This window comes from Homo sapiens, chromosome 3 (genome assembly GCF_000001405.40).
Source record: "Homo sapiens chromosome 3, GRCh38.p14 Primary Assembly".
In the NCBI taxonomy this organism is placed as follows: Eukaryota; Metazoa; Chordata; class Mammalia; order Primates; family Hominidae; genus Homo; species Homo sapiens.
This window is the reverse complement of record NC_000003.12, coordinates 124,599,543-124,624,407: the sequence shown is the minus strand read 5'-3', so window position 1 is coordinate 124,624,407 and position 24,865 is coordinate 124,599,543. Positions and strand designations below refer to the sequence as shown.

The window sequence follows — 24,865 nt, the reverse complement described above, 5'->3', positions numbered from 1 at the left end:
GTGTACCTATGATAAAGTTTAATTTATAAATTAGGCCTTAAGAGATTAACAACAACAACTAATAATGAAATTGGACAACAATAACAATATGCCAGCATCACTACTCTTGCGCTTTGGGAGCCATCATTTAGTAAAATACGGGTAACTTGAACGCAAGCACTGCAATGCCAGGACAATTGATCCGATAACTGAGGCAGCTACTAAGTGACTAATGGGCAGGTAGCATATACAGCATGGAGATGCTGGACAAAGGAATGATTCAGATTCACATCCTGGGCAGGACGGAGTAGGATGGTGTGACATTTCATCACACTACTCAGAACAGTGTGCAATTTATAACTTATGAACTGTTTATTTCTGAAATTTTTCATTTAATATTTTCAGACCTCAGTTGACTGTGGGTAACTGAAACTGTGGAAAGTGAAACCTCAGATAGACGGCGACTGTTTTAGCATGTTTCCATGCAACACACATAAGTGCTACCTGCTTCAACTGAAGACAAAAATCAGAATAAAGCCTAGGAGAGCTTGTGCACTGAACATATCCTAACCAGTCCATTGTCTGTGTCAAACATTGTCCTTCTTCTACTTAGGTAGCCTTTCATTAGTGTGATGGTTAATATTGAGTATCAACCTGATTGGATTGAAGGATGCAAAGTATTGATCCTGGGTGTGTCTGTGAGGGTGTTAACATTTGAGTCAGTGGGCTGGGGAAGGCAGACCCACCCTTACTCTGGGTGGGCACCATCTAATCAGCTGCCAGCGCAGTTAGAATATAAAGCAGGCAGATAAAACGTGAAAAGACTAGACAGGCCTAGCCTCCCAGCTTACATCTTTCTCCAGTGCTGGATGCTTCCTATCCTCAAATATTGGACTCCACGTTCTTCAGTTTTGGGACTTGGACTGGCTCTCCTTGCTTCTCAGCTTGTAGACAACCTATTGTGGGACCTTGCGATCATGTGAGTTAATAAACTCCCTTTTGTGTGTGTGTGTGTGTGTGTGTGTGTGTATAAATAAATATATATATATATATATCTCCTATTAGTTCTGTTGTCCCTCTAGAGAACTCTGACTAATACAATTAGTAACCAAATAAAAGGTACCTGCATAGGCCAGGCGCACCGGCTCACACCTGTAATCCCAGCACTTTGGGATTGTAATCCCAGCAATCCGAGGCAGGAGGATTGCTTGAGCCCAGGAGTTTGAGACCAGCCTGGGCAACATAGCAGAATGAAAGAAAAAAGCAAAGCAAAGAAAAGAAAAGGAAAGAAAGAAAGAGACAAAAAAGAAAGGAAGAAAGAGAATAAAAAAGAGAGAGACAAAGAAAGAAAAAAAGAAAAGAAAGAAACCTGTATAGACATCGGTAGGAACTGAATATACCAGAAATTTATTATATCTGATATAACTAATTTAGAAATTTAATTTCTTGTTTCTAAAGTTTCAACTCATACTTACTTCAATGTTACACCTAAAAAAAATGCTACTCCCCTTTCTGGTTTAGTGTAAAATTTGCCAAACGATTCTGAAATCAGAACACACTGTACACAAGTCATCAAAGAGTGCAAACATAGGCTCTGGCGAATACTTTATTGTTGCATCCACAGGACTGTCACCCATTACTTTTCTAATCACAAAATACTGACTTAGCCTTGTTTCTACTGACCCCAAGGCGATTTGGAAGTAGAGAAGGACTACAATTCCCAGACAGAAAAAGAAGATAATTCTAATAGTGTTAGGAGCTTAGTGTCCCCAAAGACCAGTAGCAGTGTCTTTGCAAGGGGTAGGCTGGGACCCTAGAGAGCAAGCATATGTGCAGGTGGCATCCGAGGCTTCCATGGATTGCGGGCATCACAAATATATTACTTATGAGGCTGGCTCACTATTTTCTACATTGGCTTGAGTAGTACAACTCAAAAATGAAAAAACTCGGTTTCAATCCATTCTTCTGGAGTTCAGTGATGGTATTCAAGCACACCCCAAAGGCATGTCTTCTATATAATGCATCATGTGATTGTTAAAAGACAATGGGGTCCAGTTGCTCCATATAAACCATACCTGTTTTATCTAGATGGTCAATAGGTCTATAAATGTCCACCTGGTGTTAATCGTAATACTGAATTGGAAACTTTGACTCCAATGGCTGAAATCAGAAGAAACCACAAAGATTTCTAATATCCACTAACAATTTACAGAGGGGTCCTTTGACCTTCTGTTCTTTTGCTTTAGCTCCAATGGCATGGGAATAATTGCAAACTCATTCATATTGCTTTCATATGGCTTGAGTTGTATAAGGCCAATGTACTTCAATACATCTGTCTGAAGATATTATATACTCAAACATTCCTATTTTCTTTGCTTTCCAGAAATAATTTGCTAATATAAAAATTATAGAAATATCATATATACATCTTTGTTCACACTGGAAATTGAATATCTAGAGAAGGGCACGTAATGGGAGGGCCAAAGGTGAAAATTTCCTGGGTAGCCAATGGATAAATCCATATTTGTTCATAAGCATTGACAGCATAAGGCCTGCAGTAAGTATTATTACATAATATGTCCTGCATGGTGTACAATAATACTCTGGCAAAATTTAACAGAATACAAGCTCCTGGTTGCATATTCAGCTGAGGTCCTGAGGCTATGTACGGCCAGGTTCTGGCACGGCTGGCTTCTCAGCAAACCATCTGGTTAGCCATCTTGGTGCCTGGGCCACTTAGTGCTGGAGAATGAAGATAGCTGCTATGGTGACAGCAACAGGAAATGGGGCCGGGAAGTGGGGGGAGCTAGAAATACTATTCCTTGACACTAGGAAACTTGTTGCCCTTGCAATTACTCTTAACACAACTTTAGACTAAACTTGGCAGATGCATCTTGGCTCAGAATATTCCATCTTCCATCTCTTAGTCATCCCCAAGTCTCAAATGCATAGCGCAAACCCCTGCCTCCCACTTACTATGCCACCACTTTTAGACCTAGTTTAGGAGTCTCTTTTCCAATGCATCCTTTACCAACTCAACATCCTTTACCTTACCACTTCAGTCAGACTTAACTTTGTGTTTTTATAAATTCTGTACAACTGAATCCTTATGCATTTAGAACATCTGTATCTATTTTTTCCCATTAAATTAAAAGTACAAAAGCAAGGGCCACATCTTAGTTCGTTTCTAGTTATTGTCCCCCTTCTTTTCCCAATACGGCTGCTCCTGTCCTGGCAGAATGTGTACAGATATCTGAGCCACAGAAATGATTCCAGATCCAGTGGCATCCACATAGGGCAGGGATCCTTCTCATCTTCAGAGCCCATTGGGACATTGGCCCTCAACAGGAATATTTCCAACAGGCAATCTCCAAAGACTCAAAAGTCAGCACCTCTGGCTTCAAATTAGAAGTCTCCTAAATTTTGTTCTAATTCAGTGCAGATCTCCCTCAACTACTGCAGGCTTCTTCAGTGCTGTCCTCCCCACGACCCTGGCCCCACGCTTTGGCTCCTGTTAGGATGGCATTGGAAGCAGAGGATAAAATGAAAGTTCCCAATTGACTGTCCTCAAGGTCTCCTCGACCTCGGGTTCTCCTGTGTAATCCTCTGTCTGAGTCAGAGACAGAGGGAGGAAAGCCCTCAAAGGGCAATGAACTCCACCCTCTGCCCCTAGATAAGCACTTCCTGAAAACACAAGGCCGCTGCTCTGATATACTGCTGTGCTGACTCACTGGACTCACTGCCCCATCTAGCTGTCTCTGGAAGTTAAAGGCGAGAAAATTCTCTCTATATTCCACCAGTGGTGGATTCTGAAGCTTGATATGTGGGATCAAGCAAAAGTCAGTGAAAGCAGATCTGCTGCTCTTCTAAGAGTAAATATTCTAGATATTATTTCAACCTACACACCCATTTACTTCTGCTAGAGTTTGCTGCAGCTTCTGGAGAGGGAACACACATTTTTTCTAAACTGTGGAGTAGAAAACTTTCCCAAAAGACTTCTGAAGAGTTCAAAACATAACCACCAAGGCCGGGAGTGGTGGCTCATGCCTATAATCCCAGCACTTTAGAAGGCTAAGGTGGGAAGATCAATTGAGATCAGGAGTTTGAGACCAGCTGAGCAACATAGCGAGACCTCATCTCTACTAAAAATAATAACAAAAATTAGCCTGGTGTGGTGGTGCGCTCCTGTTGTCTCAGCTACTTAGGAGGTTGAGGCAGCAGAATTGCTTGAGCCCAGGAGGTCAAGGCTGCAGTGAGCTGTGATTCCACCACTGCACTCCAGCCTGTGCAACACAGTGAGACCTCTGTCTCAAAACCAAAACCAAAACCAAAACAAAACAAAAACCATAGCCGCTGAAAGAATATGGTGAAACTTTACAAATTCAGACTGAAGAAAGGGCACATTATATTAGTATAAAATACAGGCCTTTCATTGTGGAAAAAAAAAAAACCAAAATGGTTTCACTATGATATCATCTCATACCTGTTAGAATGGCTATTATCAAAAATCAAGAGATAACAAATGCTGGTGAGAATGTAGAGAAAAGGGAACCCTAGCACATTGATGCTGGAAGTGTAGATTGATACAGCTATTATGCAAACAGTATGTAGGTTCCTAAAGAAATTAAAAATAGAATAATCAGGCTGGGCGCAGTGGCTCATGCCTGTAATCCCAGCACTTTGGGAGCCCAAGACGGGCGAATCATTTGAGCTTAGGAGTTCAAGACCAGCCTGGACAACATGGTGAGACCCTGTCTCTACAAAGAATACAAAAATTAGCTGGGTGTGGTGGCATGCACCTGTAGTCCCAGCTACTCGGGAGGCTGAGGCAGGAGAATTGCTTGAGCCTGGGAGGCGGGGTTGCAGTGAGCCAAGATCACGCCATTGCACTCCAGCCTGGGCAACGAGAGTAAAACTCTATCTCAAAAAAAAAAAAAAAAAAAAAAGAAGGAAAATAAAAAGGAATTATCACATGACCCAGTGATCCCTCTTCTGAGTACACATCCAAAGTAAATGAAGTTACTACCTCATAGAGATATCTGAACCCTTACATTCATTGCAACATTATGCACAGTAACCAAGATACAGCAACCATCTAAGTGTTTGCCAACAAACCAAGGAATAAAGAAACTGATGTATGTATTTATATACACAGACAATGAAATATTACTCAGCCTTTAAAAAGAAGGCAATTCTGCCACTTGGATGAACCTGGAAGGCACTATGTTAAGTGAAATAAGCTAGACATAGAAAACTATTGCATGATCTCCCTTATATGTGGAATCTTAAAAAAAAAAAAAAAGTCAAATATACAGTGATGGAAAATAAAACACTGGTTACCAGGGGCTGGAGTAGGGGGAAGAAACAGGGAGATGTTGGCCAGAGGATACAAAGTAGCAGATAACTATTTATATGTATCCTATAACATCATGTCATATACCTAAGATATATACCATAACATTCATTTTAAAATAGACAAACAAGAAATGCTTACTATTTTCAAGTGATGGCCAGCAAGAATTAGTGGATAAGTAGGAACTGAGATTGCCTGAAATCTGCACTCGCCTACGAAGACATCACAAGCACAACAAGGAGGGTCATCTAATTATGGCACAAGGCACCTACCAATTTCCGAGGCTGGAGTGGGCACCTTCTCCTGGATTTAGCTCTCTGCATGCAGCCCTCCCAAGCTCCATATCTGGCAGGTAAGCCCAATTTCCCCATAAATCAGGGCCACTCCTGAGTCCATGGTATGTCTTAGGCCTTCAAACAAGCCCTCAATGAGCTCCGTAAAGCACCGTTAACTCTATTAGCTTATCTAGTAATATTTTCTCCTTTTCTTTTCAGATGGTATGAACATAAACAAGTTCAGCCCTAGTAATAAGCACAAAGACTCAAAATAGCACTATACAAATGACTGTATATAACTGAAGACTCTCCCACAGAATGGGCAAGGCTAACTTCCAGTTTTGTTCTCCTACCAGCAGACTTTTCATTCACTAAGATTTCTGCATGGCTGGGCGCGGTGGCTCACGCCTATAATCCCAGCACTTTGAGAGGCCGAGGTGGGCGGATCATGAAGTCAAGAGATCGAGACCATCCTGGCTAACATGGTGAAACTCCGTCTCTACTAAAAATACAAAAAAAAAAAATTAGCTGGGCGTGGTGGCAGGCGCCTATAGTCCCAGCTACTCGGGAGGCTGAGGCAGGAGAAGGGCATGAACCCCGGGAGGCGGAGCTTGCAGTGAGCCGAGATCGTGCCGCTGCACTCCAGCCTGGGAGACAGAGCGAGACTCCATCTCAAAAAAAAAAAAAAAAAAAAAAAAAAAAAAAAAAAAAAAAGATTTCTGCACTGGTATTTTCTTTCCATTCCCACTGGCACTCAGATAGTTTAAATCTACTTGCTTTAACTACATAACAGCTCCAGACTGTCTCTCTGCCCCCAGTCTTTTTCTCCTATTCATTTGATATATCTCTGCCACCAGAGCAATTGTATCGCTTTGTTCAAATCACATTCAAAACTTCATCAATAGTATCTAATTTGTCAGCCTACTTTTTTATGGTAGTTCCACGATCAGGCCTGATCTCACCTTGCCTGTTCTCTGAGTTCCACTTTTTGATAATCCAAAGTTTTCAAACTGTGGTCCCCAGATCAGCAAGATCAGTATCATCTGGGGACTTGTGGGAAATAAAAATTCTTGGGCCCTACTCCAGAGCTAGTGGATCAGGAACTATTGGGGTGGCTTAGTATCCTGTGTTTTAACAAGCTCCCCAAGTAATTCTGATGTGCACCAGAGTTTGAAGACCAGTGTCCTATAAGAACCCTTCACTTTAGTCTAATTTTTCAGTTCACTGTACTATGTTGCATTCTTCCCTGCTTATACACCCTTTAGCTTTTCTGCTTTTCTGAAGCTTACCAAGGACTTCTTCGTTGTAAGCCCAGCATGTTCTCCTTTTGCTCTGAATACCTTTTTGTGCTATTTGTTTGGCACTGATAAATGCTTGTTTACATATTTTCCCTCACTGAGCAAAGTCCTTGAGAGGAGGTCTCCTCCATCTTTGCATTGCCAGCACAAATTCTTTGTTCATTTGTGTGAGACAGGGTCTCACTCTGTCACCCAGGCTGGAGTGCAGTGGCTCAATGACAGTTCACTGCAGCCTCAACCTCCTGGGCTCAGGTGATCCTCCCACCTCAGCCTTCTGAGTAGCTGAGACTATAGCCTCATGCCACCATGCCCAGCTAATTTTTTTAAATTTTTTGTAGAGACAGGGTTTCACCGTGCTGCCCAGATTGGCCTCAAACTCCTGATCTCAAGTGATCCACCTGCCTCAGCCTCCCAAAGTGCTAGGATTACAGACGTGAGCCACCACGCCCAGCCAACACAAATTCTTTGGTCATTAAATGGCTGGTAATGAAAAGCTAGGGACAAAACTTAGCAATATAACTTTTTTTTTTTTTTTTTGGAGATGGAGTCTTACTCTGTCACCCAGGCTGGAGTGCAGTGGTGCAATCTCAGCTCACTGCAAGCTCCGCCTCCTGGGTTCACGCCATTCTCCTGCCTCAGCCTCTCAAGTAGCTGGGACTACAGGCGCCGGCCACCATGTCCGGCTAATTTTTTGTATTTTTAGTAGAGACGGGGTTTCACCGTGTTAGCCAGGATGGTCTCGATCTCCTGACCTCATGATCCGCCCACCTCGGACTCCCAAAGTGCTGGGATTACAGGCATGAGCTACCGCGCCTGGCCAGTTCCTTAAGAAGTTCTAAGTGCTGCCCAGTCAATTAAAGATGAGTTAAGAAAGCCACCTTTTTCTTTACTGCAAGACTTCTGGGAACCTCTAATATGCTAATGTAGATGATGACCCCAGAGGGAACATAGAGCATTTACCAAATTTCATTGAGCTTGGCTATTATTCCCTAGATCTGGAAGAAAAAGGGTGAGTGAGACTCCTGGAGATGGTATTCTGACAGCAAGGTAGTCAGTCAAACTCAAAACCTGTTATGAATGCCAAAGTAGGAGCTAAGTTGCAGTCTAGCCGAGTTATTTTAGGCTTATGTACTATCACATCAAGTATACCCAGAAGCCAGTGGGAAGCCTGGCCTGGATTCAACTCACAATGTGCCCTTCAGTAGTAACCTTAACCAAAGGTAACTGCAACAGGCTTAATTATAGAGGCTGGGGGGAAGAGTTAAGCAGGGTGGCTCTGGAAAGTTTAAGACTGTAATTAAGTGCTACTTAACTGAAAATGTCACAATGGAAATTCTCCTAGGAAACCTGAGAGAAGAAGCAAGAAGAGGAAACTGCATATATGGAGGAAGTAACAGGTGGCTAGAGGTCAAAGACTGCTTGTTTGCAGTGTCCTTTTTTGGTAAACTGTATTTTTGGGTGGAACAGGAAAGAAAGTGTGAAGGCTTAGGGTCTCTTGGACTTAATGTAATAGGAGGCTCTACAGTCTTAATCTGATCCTCCTTCTCCCAACCACCTGTGCCAAGTGGGTTTTCTTCTAGGTCTTCACTACCTGGCTTAGGAAAAAGCAGTAGACAAGATTGAGTTCAGTCTAAGCCTCCTGACCAAGCTCAGTGTTTCATCCTACACTTTCCAAGTCTGTGCTCTTCCCGCAAAAGTCTCTCTGTGGTTCTCCTCTCTGGCCTCCTTGCTACCGGGAGCACAGATTCCACACTAAAGATACACACGGCTAGGAAAATGAACTGCCTGGCCCACCCTGCAACCGGATTCGCCAGTATGATCCCACTGGCACCAGTTCTTTAAAACTTTTTATTTTGACATAATTTCAGATTTAGAGAAAGGTTACACGACTAGTACAAATAATTCCTATATACTCTTTACTCAGATTCCTCCAATGTTAACATTTTGCCCTTAGCTTTTTCATCTTTCTCTTTCCAAACTGAGAATAAGTTACAGAGAAGATTCCCCTTTATTCCCAGATACTTTAGTATAGGTTTCCTTAAAACAAGGACATCTCTTATATAACCATAGGACAATAAGCAAAATCAGAAATTTAACAGTGATATCCTGTTTTTTTCAAATATTGACAGTTATTCCAATAATGTCCTTCATAGAGAAAGATCATGTCTTTTATGATCTGCACATCTTTTATAAGTACAGGGTAGTTATTTTGTAGAATGTCCCTCATTTGGTTTGCCATGTATTTCCTTATGATTACATTTAAGGTGTGTGTTTTTGGTAGGAATATCCCAAAAATGATGCATCAAATCAGGAGGCATACAATATTGATTTGATTAGACTATAGTTATGTTAACTTTGATCCCCTAGTGTCTGTCACTGGGACAGTGTTCTAATCCACCAGGTAAAACTGCATACTCACTTAGCCCAGCTGTTTTAAAACTCTGATATAATTTTGGCTTGCCTAACCCTGGTCATATATGTGACAAATTAACTATAAGTAATGTTTGAACATAATTCCCATGTAAAATACTCAATTCCATTCATGAAACAATTTCCTGATCACAAACATGAGAAGAGGCTAATTTTCTACTCCATTGAAGACAGACTGAACAGTGTATAATGAAGGTGGTTAGCTGGGTGTGATGGCTCATGCCAGTAATCTCAACATTTTGGGAGGTTAAGGTGGGAGGACTGCTTGAGTCCAGGAGTTTAAGACCAGCCTGGGAAACATAGTGAGACCCTGTCCCTACCAAAATAAAAAATAAATTAGCTGGGTGTGTTGGTGCACACCCATAGTCCCAGCTACTTGGGAGGCTGAGTGGGAGGATTGCCTGAGCCCAGGAGGTTGAGGCTGCAGTGAGCCATGATTGTGCCACTACATTCCAGCCTGGGTGACATGGTGACACAGCAACACCCTGTCTCTGAAAAAAAAAAAAAGAAAAAAGCCAGGTGCAGTGGCTCATGCCTGTAATCCCAACACTTCAGGAGGCTGAGGTGGGCAGATCCCTTAAGTCTAGGAGTTTGAGACCAGTCTGGGCAACATGGCGAAACTCTGTTTCTGTAAAAATTAGTCAGGCATAGTGGTACATGCCTGTAGTCCCAGCTACTTGAGAGGCTGAGGTGGGAGGGTTGATTGAGCCCGGAAGGTCGAGGCTGCATTGAGCCGTGATCGAGCCACTGCCCTCCAGCCAAGGAAACAGAGTGAGACCCTGTCTCAATAAATAAATAAATAAATAAATAAATAAATAAATAAATAAATAAGAATTTTAGAAAAAGAAAGTGGTAATTACACTAAAGACTAGAACTAGGTTTTGTTAACATTTTATAAGCTATGCTTTAACATTCTATTTAAAGTTCATTTTAGCCTTTGTGGGCACACAAAATCCATCCAGTTGAAGTTTTCACGTGAAACAGAGATTCCCAAGTGAGGATTCTGAAAGCTAGTCTGAGGCCAGGTTTATACTCAACCCATGAGTCTCTTCTATAGATCTCAAATTGTCACTGAAAATGGTGTTGGAGGTTTTTGGGGAGACATAAATCCAGGCTGGCTCTGTAACTACCCAAATATGTTACTAATAAATACAGAAAGATCATCAGGACATAGAACACTGGCTGCTCTTGAGTCTTGAGTATGGGAGCTGACCAGCTGGAAAGGCCACAGGCTGAAGAATGGAAACAGAATTCTAGGACCCTAGTAGACAGTGAGGCACTTCCAGTCTCATGAATCAAATTTAACAACATTAAAGGCAGGAGAAATGGCAAGTAGGTGATGAGAGAATAGATCAGTGAGAACCTTAGAAGCTCAAATGTTGGCTTCTAGTTTAGAAAACACTGATTTAGGTTACCTAACTGTTGTAGCAAGTAATAAGCCTTCAACTCAAGAGCTGGGTAGAGAGGCTGGATTTGAAAGATGACACAAGACCCTGGACAGATCACTTCCCAATTATAACATGTAGGTTATTTGCATAATTGGGACCAGAAACTCCCTTTAGCAAGCATCCCCTGCCTTTGGGCAGATAAAACAAACTGATATCTTGCCCTGTTGCCATGAGCCTAATCCTGAGACTTACTAGCAGTATTTCAACTTTCCTTCAATCAGGAAAAACATCCAATGTACCCACTAAGCTGCTAGAGAAAGGGGCACTTATTCACCTAGGGCAAGAGTCAAAGCTCAGATGTCTTCAGAGACCAACGGATAAGGCAAACATGAAAAGATGGACACGGAACAATCAGGAGAGGTATGGGCTGTGTCAAACTGGGAAGTGTAAATCTGCTGGGGAGTGTAAGACATATTTTTTTTTTAAAGGAGGCAACCACTCTGCTGCCAAATACTATACATCTGGGACCAAAGGCCCAAAGATTGCTACTCTGCCTTGCTTGCCTAATGGTGGCAAGGCCACTTTTCCTTTACTATAGCTAAAACCCCTGGCTCCATGATCAGCAATGATTGGTATGGAATGTCACCAGTACTACAGGCATCCCTGCAGATATCCTTTGCAGAGAAAATACTCAATCAGACTATTTCCATAAGAATGCCCTTTTCCTGGAGCTTGCCTAGACCTTGCATCATTATAATGTCTCTTGTATTATTTAAGTGGGGATCCCATAGGCTCGATTTATATAACATTTTATATTTGAAGATACTACTTTATTATTCGTTCATTCAACACATGCTTGTTGAGTGCTTCCTATATGCCAGGAGCTGTTCCTGATGCTGAGCTATAGCAAGTGTAGGAGACAGACAAAGTCGCTGAAATTAGAAACTTGTCATTCTAGTTAGGGTAGAGAGGGAGTCAGATAAGAAACTAACAAATGAATGAGAAAAATTTCCAGTAGTATTGAACAGTTTTAAAGAATTAAACTGACGGCTGGGCTCGACGGCTCACATCTGTAATCCCAGCACTTTGGTAGGATGAGGCGGGCAGATCACCTGAGGTGAGGAGTTCAAGACCAGCCTGGCCAACATGGTGAAACCCCATCTCTATTAAAAATACAAAAATTGCTGGGCGCGGTGGCTCACGCCTGTAATCCCAGCACTTTGGGAGGCCGAGGCAGGTGGATCACCTAAGGTCAGGAGTTCGAGACCAGCCTGACCAACATGGAGAAACCCCATGTCTACTAAAAATACAAAATTAGCTGGGCATGGTGGCACATGCCTGTAATCCCAGCTACTTGGGAGGCTGAGGCAGGAGAATTGCTTGAATCCGGGAGGCAGAGGTTGTGGTGAGCCGAGATCATGCCATTGCACTCCAGCCTGGGTAATAAGAGCAAAACTCCGTCTCAAAAAATAAAAATTAAAAAAATTAAAAAATTAGCTGGATGTGGTGGTGCATGCCTGTAATCCCAGCTACTTGGGAGGCTGAGGCAGGAGAATCGCTTGAACCTGTGAGGCAGAGGCTGCAGTAAGCTGAGATTGTGCCATTGCCCTCCAGCCTGAGCTACAAGAGCGAGACTCCATCACAAAACAAAACAAAACAAAAAACACTGACTAATGGGCTAGAGAGGGCCTGAGGACTTCTTCAGAATGAGTAGCTGGTGACAGTTCTCTGAGAAGTGACATTTAAGCTGAGACCTGAATGATGGGAGTGAACCAGCCACATGAAGACGGAAATAAGGCTTTCTACCAAGGTCATAGACTATGCAGAAATCCTAAGGCAGAAACGAGTTTGGGATGTTCAAGCTTCCTGAAGGAAGTTCTTGTGGCTGGAGCGCAGCTGGTGGGTGAAGGGACATGAAATGCAGTTGGAAAGTAGGCAGGGCCTAGAACCACAGCCTTGCAGGGCACAGCAGGAAGCTGGACTTTATCCCCAATGCAATGGGAAGCCACTGGAGTGTTTTAAAAGGGGCCGGGGTGTGACATAGGTGATGCAATAGGATTCATTTTCATTGACAATCTTTAATTTCTGACCACTCTATGTTATATAGCCAGATAAATCTCCCTCCAACTAGAATCACCTTTGCACCAAGAATCACCTTTTCTTCTAGTGATGAGTAACAGATATGGGGAGAAACAGCTTACTACATATGGATGAATAGGAACCATCAGGATATTCAAATCTGGTCTCTGGACAAAACACTCCATATCCAGCTCACACATACAAGGCCATCCTATGCCTCCTTACTATCTGCTCATATTTCCCACACCAACAAGTCACCTGGTATCTCAACTTAATTCTTTCTGCTATGGTCTAGGGTGTGTTGACACAGTTTTAGGTAACATTATCAATGAGAAATGCTCCCATCTCTGATGTTACTTCTCTCTCTACCTAGGCGGTCCTTCCCCAGATCCCACAGAGCCCATTCTCTCTCTTGCTTCAGGTCATTACTAAAAGGCTGCCTTATCAGCACAGCCTTCCCTGATACCCTATTGAGAACTACAACACCCACCTCCACATGCTGCCACTCTGATTCCCTAGCCCTGTTACCTTCTCTATAGCACTTACTGCCATCTAGCCAACTGTATTGTTTCTTTATTTTTTGAGACAGGGTATCACTCTGTTGCCCAGGCTGGAGTGCAGTGGCATGCCTGGTTCACTGCAGTCTCGATCTCCCAGGCTCAAGCAATCCTCCCACCACAGCTTCCCAGTAATTGGGACCACAGTGTGCGCCACCACACCTGGCTAATTTTCTTTTCTTCTTTTCTTTTCTTTTTTTTGTAGGGACGGGGTCCTACTATGTTGCCTAGGCTAATCTCAAATTCCTAGGCTCCAGCCATCCTCCTGCCTCAGCCTCCCAAAGTGCTGGGCTTACAGTTGTAAGCCACCCTGCCTAGTCAAGCCAATTGTATTCACCATGTCTTTTTATTTCCTGTATTATTTGCTTTGATATCTGGGGTATTGCTGATCCTGGAGGGATAGCCGCCCCCCCCAGGGTTAGTTAATATCTAGAGAGAGGCGACACCTTTCCTATGCAAACCCACCAATCCAGAGCCCACACCCCCAACCACCCTCTTTATCAAGCTTTCATTTTTGGGCCAATATCCACCTGCCCTAATCACCCCAGGACCAGGTATCAGACAACTAGGGACAACCCCTTGTCCCCCCAGAGCCCTCTACAATTACTCAAACTAGCCAGTCCTAAACCTGCTTACCTTGCCTCACCTCTTAAAGACTCCAGCCCCCTAGTTCCTTTTCTCTCTTTGCCTGCATGCAACTTCAGTGTTTTCTTCTGTGGCCCGGTGTGGGATGCCCCATCCTCTTGGGGAACTGTGAGTAATAGACTATCTTTTCAGTCACCTCCTCATCTGTTGGCATGACTGAATTTCAAATTTCTATTAATATTAATGTACTATATTTAAAAATACTTACTATGAAATTTATTTCTTATTTGTTGCTCCTACTCTCCTCACTAAAAGCTCCATGAAGGCAGGGAATTTTTTTCCCCTGTTTTTGTTCATTGTTGTGCTTCTAGCAGCTAAAAGAGTGCTTAGCACAGAACTAAAGCACTCAATAAACATTTGTTGGGGAAAAAAGATTTCATAGAAAGTGCTCAGTAAATATGTTCTAAATATTAAATGAATAAAAAGGAAGCCAAGATGCCTGTTTCTGTGTGCATGGATGAATACAGAAGCCAAGTGTAGAGTGAGGTGACCTTGGGATTTGAGTTCCAGTTCTACCTCTTTACCTTTCTGAACCTCAGTTTACTCATCTATAAAATGAGGATAACTACCACCCACCTCTGAGATAACAATACTTACTTAACCCAATAGTGACAGCTTATTATATGACAATAAATGGCAATGACAGTAATGACTATTAAATGGCAGTGAACAGTATTGTGTTGTAATACAGCAATGGCTGTGAGGCCTCAAGCCTGCAAGACAGCCAGCCCTCATCCTCAGACTGCAATGCCTTGAGTCATCTGCCGGAATGGATTCACTCTCATTTTCCTTCCCAGGCAGCAACAAAGGGAGAATGCACGTCTCTCTTCTAAGCAGATTTAAAGCGCTCTATGCCCTTTACCCACTTTTATAACCTACTACTCATCAGTCACAGATGCAGAAGGATCCTAGCTAGTGCAAATACATGTATACACTCATAGGTGTGTCTGGCAAGCATGAACACATGAGTTGCATGACATACTTAGGACTTCCACAAACTCAGGTCAGAGACCCCCAAACTATCAGGCTCACATGGAAGAGGGGATTTATGTGGCTGATAACATCACCCACCCATTTCTTATGCCAAAGTAGGAAGTACTCCATGACCTCAACAGATAAAAACACTTAGACCAACAGGAGGACTTAGTTTAAAAAGTCAGGATTTCAAAAGTAATATATAAGCATTACAGGAAAAAAAAAATTGAGGAAAAAGAAAAGTTTCTGTAATCCACCTATTTTGTGACCTTTAACACTTCAGAACATTTCCCAAATCTTTGTGTAGCTGTGTGCACATGTATACCTGTAAAGCAGTATATTTGTTGAATAAATGAACAAAACTCAAGCCCACATGACCTTTCTTCAGTCCGCTGACCCTTTGGCTAAGTCTCAGAGTTCCAGGCTGCCTGAATGCTGCTAAGGTACCTTTCATGGTACCTTCAGTGCTAGGCCAGGCCTCAGGCTCCCAGCGCTCAAGAAAAGGAGTACAGTAAAAGCAGCACTGGGCCACACAAAGAACCCCACGTATGATTTCCAGCTTAACTCTTAACTTGCTGCATGATCTTAGGTAAAACCCAATCTTGCTGGCTTTCAATGTACTAATCTGTCAAGTGGAAGAACAACTCTAGATTATCCTTACCAGCACTTTCACCTTTAAACCTTGGAAATACAGAAGATTCAGTTATGTGTTCTAAGCAGACTTTTAAATGCCATTACTGCAGGGGAGGGCCACCATTGCAAATCCTGGTCTTTGTTCCCAACTCTTGGGCAGGCCTGCAGCAGAAAAGGCAGCTCCCAGAAGCCAGAATTAGAACCTGAGCTAGGGAGAAGCAAAAACATACGGTCCACAGACTATCAGGAGGGAGGGGAAGAAGGGAGACAGGATGCTGTAAGTTCTCCGCTGACTTCCAGCAACTAGTCTCTGGGTGCTTGGGCCTTGGTTCAGCTGCCCTCTACTTATCAGTACTCTTCCTGAGGAGACAGAGCGAGGACTCATCTGCTCTTCATGGCCCTTGAAAAATTTACTATCTATTCTAGAGACTTAAAGTGTGTGAATTTGTAATAAACATTTAAAGGTTGCATGAGAGGGTATAAATTTGTGGCAGGGCATGGTATCTCATGCCTGTAATCCTAGCACTTTGGAAAGACAAGGTGGGCAGATCACTTGGGCCCAGGAATTTGAGACCAGCCTGGGCAACATGGTGAAACCCTGTCTCTACAAAAAAAAAATTAGCCGGGCACGGTGACGACACATGCCTGTGGTCCCAGCGACTCAGGAGGTTGAGGTGGGAGAATCACTTGAGCAGGCAGGCAGAGGCTGGAGTGAGCCGAGATCAGGACACTGCACTCCAGCCTGGGTGACAGAATGAGACCCTGTCCTAAAAAAAAAAAAAAAATTAAAAAAGAGAGATTATAAATTTGTAAAACTGAAGGAAAATGCTTAGATAACATTCAGTGGAAAAAAAGCAGGATACAATGTTAATTATAAAAACTGAACCAGCTGTGGAGGCACTGTGGCTCACACCAGTAATCCCAACATTTTGGGAGGCTGAGGCAGGCAGATCACTTGAGGCCAGGAGTTTGAGATCAGCCTGGTCAACGTGTCTCTACTAAAAATACAAAATTAGCCAGGCATAGTGGTACATGTCTATAATCCCAACTACTTGAGAGGCTGAGGCAGGAGAATCACTTGAACCTAGGAGGTGGAGGTTGCAGTGATCCGAGATTGTGCCACTGCACTCCAGCCTGGGCAGCAGAGTGAGAATGAGAGTTGAGTAAAGTCAAGGTCTCTAGGATTATAGGGTGATATATTTTCCTTATTTTCTCCTATGTCTTCCAAATTATTGGCTACAAGTATGTATTACTTTAAAAAGTATGTCATACATAAATACATGCTCATGAAATTTCATAAAATACTTTAGAAGATTATAGGGTAAAAAGTTCATCTCTCCCCAACTTACTCCCAGTTACTTCCCCACACCCAAATCAATTCTACTCTGCTACCTAGAAGTAACCACAGTGATTCAGTATATATCTTGGCTCATTTTCAATGCATTCACCCACATAGACACACAGTTTGTTCTTGCACAATGTTTATACTATGTCGTTGAATGGTTCTGTATGGATTTTTTCCCATTTAACAAATGGGAGATCTTCCTATGTTTGGATCTTCTATTTTGCTGTTTGTTTCAGATGGCTGAATACCACACCACTGTAAAATTATACCACAATCATTCCCCTATTGGAAACAATGTCACTGTCCATGTTCTTGTTCGCTATTACAAAAATTATCACTTGAAATCCTGTGACAAATGGAGACCTTCTTTAGGGTACAGTACAAGAAGTGGTATTGATGAGTCAAAAGACATACACATTTTCAATTTTTATAGATTTTGCCAAATGGCCCTGAAGAAAGAGAATCAATTTATGTTCCCATGAGTGGATGAATATCTATTTGGCCTTACCTATAATTTTGCCAATCTGAAGGGTGAAACATAATCTTATCGTTTTTATTTGAATTTTTGATTACTAGATGTTATCTTTTGAAAAGTTTATTGCCTTTTAAAAAGTCTTACATCTTCATCGCTTTTGCCCTTTTTTAAAATATTGGGTTAATTAGCTTTTTTCTTAATTTATAAGAACTCTTCATACATTCTGGGTCTTAATCTTTTATCTATTAGGCAGGTTACACGCATTTTCTCCTAGTCCATCATTTGTTTTAACTTCCTTTATAGTGTCTTTACATTTGCCTGAAATCCTTCTGAAATTTATTTTTATGTATAATGAGATCTGTGGATATAATTTACCTGACTTTAACGTTAAGAAAAACATTTTAAAGTAGAAACTTCAAAGAACCTCTGCTTTATATTTGTCTTTTATGGTTCTCATATTTTATAAATCAAATTTATGGTATTTTTAAGGAGACAGGACTATAAGAAAGGATTAAGAAGAAGCCTTGCCACACATCACATGGCCTGGGCGTTTTCATAGCTAAGTGAATGCTGCAAGCTATGCCAGCACTGAGCTTGTCAGACATGTGAGATTTTGGGCTCTAGCTCTTGGGCAGTTTCCAAGGTCCTTTGGGTCACCAATGAGGACTCCCATCTAAGAGAGGAGACACTCCAGTCTAAGTATCATGCAAGGCCAAAGGAATGCCCCAAATGAGAACAATATAATTGCCCCGAAGTATAATTCCTCTTGTACACAAACTCCAATCAATGTGATTTTATTTCTCTCTGTGTTTTCTGAAACTGTGAGCTTAAGTTTCAGTATGCTTAAGTTCAATAAAATTTGCTGAACAGATGCATGACTATGTTAAGTCAAGTCTTTAAGCTATTCATGATGGGGATAAATCAGAGAAAGTCAGCAGTGGACTGAAATGATAAAGGAGGGTGAAGTTGGTGGTTAATCAGAAGTAGGTTTTCCAATCAAGCCTCCCTCTTGGAAGAGATGCAAAAAGCTGCGGCAAGCATTACATTTTGATGTGTGTGTTGGGATAGAGGGGATTTCACTCGTGTAATGGAAGGGGTGGTGATGGAGGCAGATCCAAGTGCTACTCCGTTCTTGTTTATTTTGACGAATCACACTGCCATGGGTGAAGCACAGCAGCTTAAAAACCTGGGTGTACATGCATATTTATTAGATATATGACACCAAAACCCCTACAGTACTAAAGCTCTATAATCAGGGGGACAGAACCAATATCCAAGGCAGGTCTATGGAGCTTCAAAGTCTATATTCTTACACAGTTTTGGGCCCCATTTGGATACAGGACCACAGTGGGATGAAACTATCTTAATGCACCTATTCTCTCTCTCTCTTTTTTTTTTTTTTTTAGATGGAGTCCCATTTCTTCGCCCAGGCTGGAGTGCAATAGCGTGATCTCAGCTCACTGCAACCTCCGCCTGCTGGGTTCAAGCAATTCTCCTGCCTCAGCCTCCCAAGTACCTGGGATTACAGACATGTGCCACCATGCCTGGCTAATTTTTGTACTTTTAGTAGAGATGGGGTTTCACCATGTTGGCCAGGCTGGTCTTGAACTCCTGACCTCAAGTGATCCACCTGCCTCTTAGCCTCCCAAAGTGCTGGGATTACAGGCATGAGCCACTGCATCCAGCCAATGCACCTATTATCTCTATAACCACACACAGAAAGGAATTTAGGCCAGATGTGCTGGCTCATGCCTGTAATCTCAGAACTTTGGGAGGCCGAGGCAGGAGGATCCCTTGAGGCCAGGAGTTCAAGACCAGCCTGGGCAACAGAGTGAGACCCTGTGCAGTGCAATAGCGTGATCTCAGCTCACTTCAACTTTCGCCTCCTGGGCTCAAGTGATCTTCCCACCTCAGCCTCCTGAGTAGCTGGGACTATAGGTGCACACCAGCATGCCTGGCTAATTTTTGTATATATATATTTTTTGTAGAGATGAGGTTTTGCCATGTTGCTCAGGCTGGTTTGGAACCCCTGGCTTAGGCAATCTGCACACCTTGGCCTCCCAAAGTGCTGGAATTACAAGCATGAGCTACTGCACCCGGCCTAATTTTTTTTTTTTTTTAATTAGCCAGGCATGATGGCACATCCTTGTGGTCCCACCTACTCAGGAGGCTGAGACAAGAGGATCGCTTGAGTGCAGTAGTTTGAGGCTGCAGTGAGCTATGATCGTACCACTGCATTCCAGTCTGGGTGACAGAGTGAGACCCTGTCTCTAAAATAATTAGTTAATAATTAAAAATTTTAAACGAAATTAAAAAACATCTAGTTCAAATTTTGAATCAGGAAAAACTCTGAAAAATTCTAACCCAATAGAATGGAAATTACATAGTAATCACTATTATTCCCCTTAGTGGAATAATTTATTTTAAGGATCATAAAAATATTTATAGGGCTTTCATGAGCTCATCTCCAACCTTCGTTTCCCAAACTATTTTCCACCATTAAGCACCTTAACTTTCAATTCTATGATCACAAGGTTATAAAGAAACAACCTTTGTGGTTTGGGAAGAGCAATATAGTCCAACAGCAGCACCAAGAGTGGCTCTTTTCAGGCTCGATGCATAACTTCCACATCCTCACTCTGGAGAATACACTATCCAAGGCATAGAGAAAGCTTAAAAAACATGAAAGCATTGGGAGATATACCTAATGCTAGATGACGAGTTAGTGGGTGCGCGCATCAGCATGGCACATGTATACATATGTAACTAACCTGCACAATGTGCACATGTACCCTAAAACTTAAAGTATAATAATAAATTTAAAAAAAAAAAACGTGAAAGCAGTCCTGACCATCTATTTGTTCAGAGTTCTTACTTTGTGGGGGTTTTGGGTCTACCACCCATGTTTCACCCCAACTGTTTCAGAGAAGGGATCTCTCGGTGATAGAATCCAAGTCCAAAGCATGCAACACAGAATCACATGTGTGAGCTGATGTTGTTCACTCTCTTTATCCTAGTGATGGCTCTGAGAATGACCTTCTCAAATAAGATCACCAGGCTCCATCTGAAGCAGTTTTTCTAGCCTGGTATAATGTATTATTCTAGAGAGGTGGGAGGGCATAGTTAGATACTATAAGGTAAAAACACCTTCATTCTCCCCCTTTTGCCCCCATCAAGTTCAAAGTCAAAATGAGGCAACCTTTACTTTAAGGCAAAGGAACCCAATAGACTAGCATATGGGAATATTGACTTTCTCTGAGACAGAACCTCAAAGCAAGGACACACATTTTTAATATCCATGCTCGTGGGAGAGTTGTGGGGAGAGATGCTCCATTTCAAAAATTGACTGGGTCTCTCCCTATAGGTCAGACACAGCTTGGCCTTTGGGCTACTATCCTCTGGGGAAGTCGACACCTGCATATTGGCATGACCTGTAGGGAGAGCCAGGGACAGGAAGGAAGAATAGCTGAGGAACATCTCAAGCAGAGCCACACTTCAGTTGCCTGAATCAACAGGTGGGCTCCGGGAGGTAAAATCCACAAGGAGAGGTCTGTGAATTTTAAGGAAGGATTCAGGAGTGTTGCCATACGGAGCAAGAAAATTAAGTGAATCAATTAGAGGCTGCCAAGGCTACCAGGAGGAGGCAGGTAGAAGGAGATAGATATCTGGGAGGGCTTTGAAGACTAGAAACAGCCTCCTCCGGAGAGTCAATACTATTTTAGGAGACAAACAAGTGTGACTGTGGTTAAAGATAATCACAGTCAGATGCTGGCAAAGGTAGACAAACATTTCCAGGCCTCTGCTATTTAGGGTATAAAAGTCTGTGTGTGTATGCCAGGCAATGCTTGTGTTAAGAGCTTTGGCGGCAGAGGGTTTACATATGCAAATAAAAATAATACCCCACAAGAAAAGGCTGCTTCTGGAAGTGCTAACCCATCCCATGGTTTCAGGCACATGATGTGAAATTGCACTAGATTCCACTGTAGTAATTAAAAGACAAAACAAAAACAAAACAAAACAACAACAAAAAAAAAACCACGAAAACTGGAATTAACTGGGGCCAGCAGAGTAAGTGAGAAGAAACCAGGACTGAACACACAAACTAAGTACTCTTGGGAGAATCATTTAATCTCTCTAAGCCTCAGCTTTGTCATTTGTGAAACATATAGGCTGACTCCCAAAAGCTGAAGACCTAAGGATGCTACAGTCACACACCTGTTCATCGTTACCATGGATATTCCATTCCTATCCAGGTCTCTATGTCCTTCCTGGTGCCATTTTCTTTGCCTAACTTAGATGGAGTATATCCCTCCTGACCCTTTAAGACCCAGCCCTGTGTCACTTTTCCACAAGGCCTCCCCTGAACACATTCCCCTCACTCCTTTAGAAGAGCTGGTAGTTCTGTCCTCTGGGCACGTACAACAGGGAAGGCAGAGGGATTTCAGTTCTTAAACTCATCATAGTTTCTCATTAGACTACAGGTCCTAGGTTGACACTTGACATAGAGGACATCTGCTGGCACCCATCCATCTCCCCAGCATCCATTTCTCTTCATGGGAGCACCCCAGATTTCACAGCTTTGTGAGTTGAAACCCTGTCCTTGCTGAGTCTCCACTCCCAGGGTAGGTCCGACAATAAGAGAAATATTTCACTCAGTGGATCGTTAACTCAAGGATGGGCATATCACTTAACTCAGGGTAGACAGCACCAAGGAAAGTCAATTTGGGGGACTTCTGACTTCTTCCTTCCTACTGAACATGAAGGTCTATATGTGATTTTCACTATTGGAAAAAGCCTACTGCAAACTATAAATCTAACCAATAGTATATTTAGCCAAAATGTCATTTCTTTTTGCCTAAAACTGGTATGTATGGTTATTGAATACAAGAAGCTCTGATGGGTTGCTGCCAACAGAACAGAAATTTTTCTTTTCTTTTTTTTTTTTTTTTTGAGACAGAGTCTTGCTATGTTGTCCAGGCTGGAGTGCAGTGGTGTGATCTTGGCTCACTATAATCTCTGCCTCCCACACTCAAGCCATACTCCCCCCTCAGCCTACTGAGTAGCTGGGACTACAGGTGGGTGCCACCAAACCCAGCTATTTTTTTTTTCCTAGAGATGGGGTTTCGCCATGTTGCCTAGGCTGGTCTCAAACACCTGGGCTCAAGCAATCCACCCACCTTGGCCTCCCAAAGTGCTGGGATTATAGGCATGAGCCACCACACTGGCCAGAATAGAAATTTCTGAGCCGTAAAAGGCAGAATATTTACCACAGCATAGCAGATAATGGTAGAAACTAAAGGAATACATCCAAGATCATCAACTTTGAACATGAATACAGGATAATAGTACAAACTAATACATACATATAAAGGTCCTTAATAGTGACCTGGTTGAAGAATTACTTAAGAATCCAACACACTGGGAGGAGACCATCTCTTTTTAATAACAATTGTCATCGTGAATCAGCCATAGGATCTACCAGATCAGCAACTTGTTTTGAACACGGACACTCCCAGGGCTCAAAACCTGGGCAAAAGGCCAATAGTTTGAGACCTAGGTTACAAGTCTGTTTTCCTTAAAAGCTTTGAGAAATAGTCATTAATCTACTTCCATCCTACATAATGGCTCATTTAAAGCTATTACCCTATAAGTTAGAGAAATGTCTGATAATGGGAAGAATGTTGCTGTTCTCAAGCTAACACTTACTGAGTGCATTCCATATACCAGGTAGCCAGGAACTACCCTAAGTGATACACACATACTTTTTCACTTGAATCTTCACAACCACCCTCAGGGATAGATGCCTGTATTTCCCCAAGTGCGCAGATGAAGACATTGCCATAAAGTTAGGTCACCAGACTAATGCCATACATGTAGTAAGCTCTAACGTCAGGAGGGGGACTCAGTCTGACCCTCCTAACCCATGCTTGGCTCTTAGAGGTCTGAACTAAAGACAGAGAATTGCCCACAAAAAGCTCTAGCTTACTTAGAGAAAATGACGCATGAGCACAAGAGGGCCAACTGGCCCATGTTCCTTCTTAGTCATAGCCCTGTTTATGATTCTACCCTGGGCACTTTCAGAGAGTGCTAGAACCCCAGCTTCAGAAGCTTTGTAATCTGGTTTTCCTCTTTACTTCGAGCTGGGGCATTTTGGAAAAACACATGCACTCAAGGTAGCCTCTCCAAACCTGCCTCTAGGCTACTTCCAAAATATATGTTAGCAATCACAATCAAACAGAATAATAAAGATTGCTCTATTTGAATCACATCTGATGCCACTCTAAAAATGTCCTACATATATAGTCACATATATGATATCACATATATATATATATAAATTTCATGGTATAGGATGCTAATCACAAATATAAATACAAATTGGAGGTGTCACTAAATCATAATGAGTTAAACGTTACAAACTAAATCAGTTTCTATGCTTTGCAGTTTCACTTTCTAGTACCTGACTTGGCAAAGCCATTCCACAACCAGAATTATAGCCACTGCCCTGTCCTGTCTTTGAAATACGTACCCATTGATACAGAAAAACACAAATAAAGATGTGAGCCAGGCAACCAAACAAGAGTTGAAACCAATATAACATAATGTGCAGATTGTATCTCATAAACCAAGGATCTGTGACTTTGGAATAAGAGACAAGTGCCATAATGCTTGGCAAGAAGCCATGGTAATGACAAACCCAGGTGAGTTATGCCATTGGTATGTTACAATGAGAGGAAACAGAGGATGGTGAGTTTGGCTGACTTTCTCCAAGGGACCCAGCCATGCTACAATAAACTCCAACAGTCCCTTGGGATAACTGCACTTATCCTCACCCTGAACTCCTGCTCTTCTTTCCCCGCGGCTGGTCTACCTTTTGGGAAGCCTTGCCCACTTTCTCTTCTAACTCCTACACACACATCTCACTGAGAACAGTTCAGTTCTGATTTTGCTCTTGCAGCCCTGGCTTGCATATGCTGGTAGAAGGGTCATAGTTTAAATTTAGACTTGACCACCTCACTGGGAATTCACTGGGAAACAAGCTGTGTGTGGAACCCATAGACACTCTGGCAGAGTTGGCTGCTAACACTCTAAAATGGAAGCACTAGTTGGTGGTGAAGCTGTAAGTTAAATTGGGAAAGGGGTAGAATTTCTAAACCAAAGCCCAAAGAAATGGGAACTTCAAAATTAGAAAGGCTGGAAAAAACCTTAAAAGGTTATTGAGGTCTTCTGCTTTGAAGCAGAACCCAAGTAAACAAACAGGATTATCTCTGGTTTTTAAATCCCTTTGTGGAATGGGAATTGGAAAAGATCGTAAAGGCCACTGAGTACAACGTCCCAAATGTTACAGAAACAGGTCTACAGCATTGCCCAAAGAGGGTCATGCAGACTCAGCTGAACCCTGCCAGCACACCCTGAATAACAGTTATCGCAGC

The 24,865-nt window shown here is 42.4% G+C and overlaps 1 protein-coding gene and 1 pseudogene across 34 annotated transcripts in view, besides 2 other annotated features; both read right to left on the bottom strand.

Annotated features, from left to right (window-relative positions):
* The window catches only part of KALRN (kalirin RhoGEF kinase), a 692,957-nt gene that overhangs the window by 101,918 nt on the left and 566,174 nt on the right, over nucleotides 1-24,865 (bottom strand). The gene's annotated exons all lie outside the window — the stretch shown is intronic.
* Nucleotides 1,876-2,698, bottom strand: MEMO1P6 (MEMO1 pseudogene 6; annotated as a pseudogene).
* Nucleotides 3,495-3,584: an enhancer, noted in NCBI's record as "active region_20400". NCBI's record gives its function as "activates an Ori minimal core promoter by ATAC-STARR-seq in GM12878 lymphoblastoid cells {active_cell/tissue: GM12878}" and the evidence as "EXISTENCE:reporter gene assay evidence [ECO:0000049][PMID:35858748]".
* Nucleotides 4,352-4,421: an enhancer, noted in NCBI's record as "active region_20399". NCBI's record gives its function as "activates an Ori minimal core promoter by ATAC-STARR-seq in GM12878 lymphoblastoid cells {active_cell/tissue: GM12878}" and the evidence as "EXISTENCE:reporter gene assay evidence [ECO:0000049][PMID:35858748]".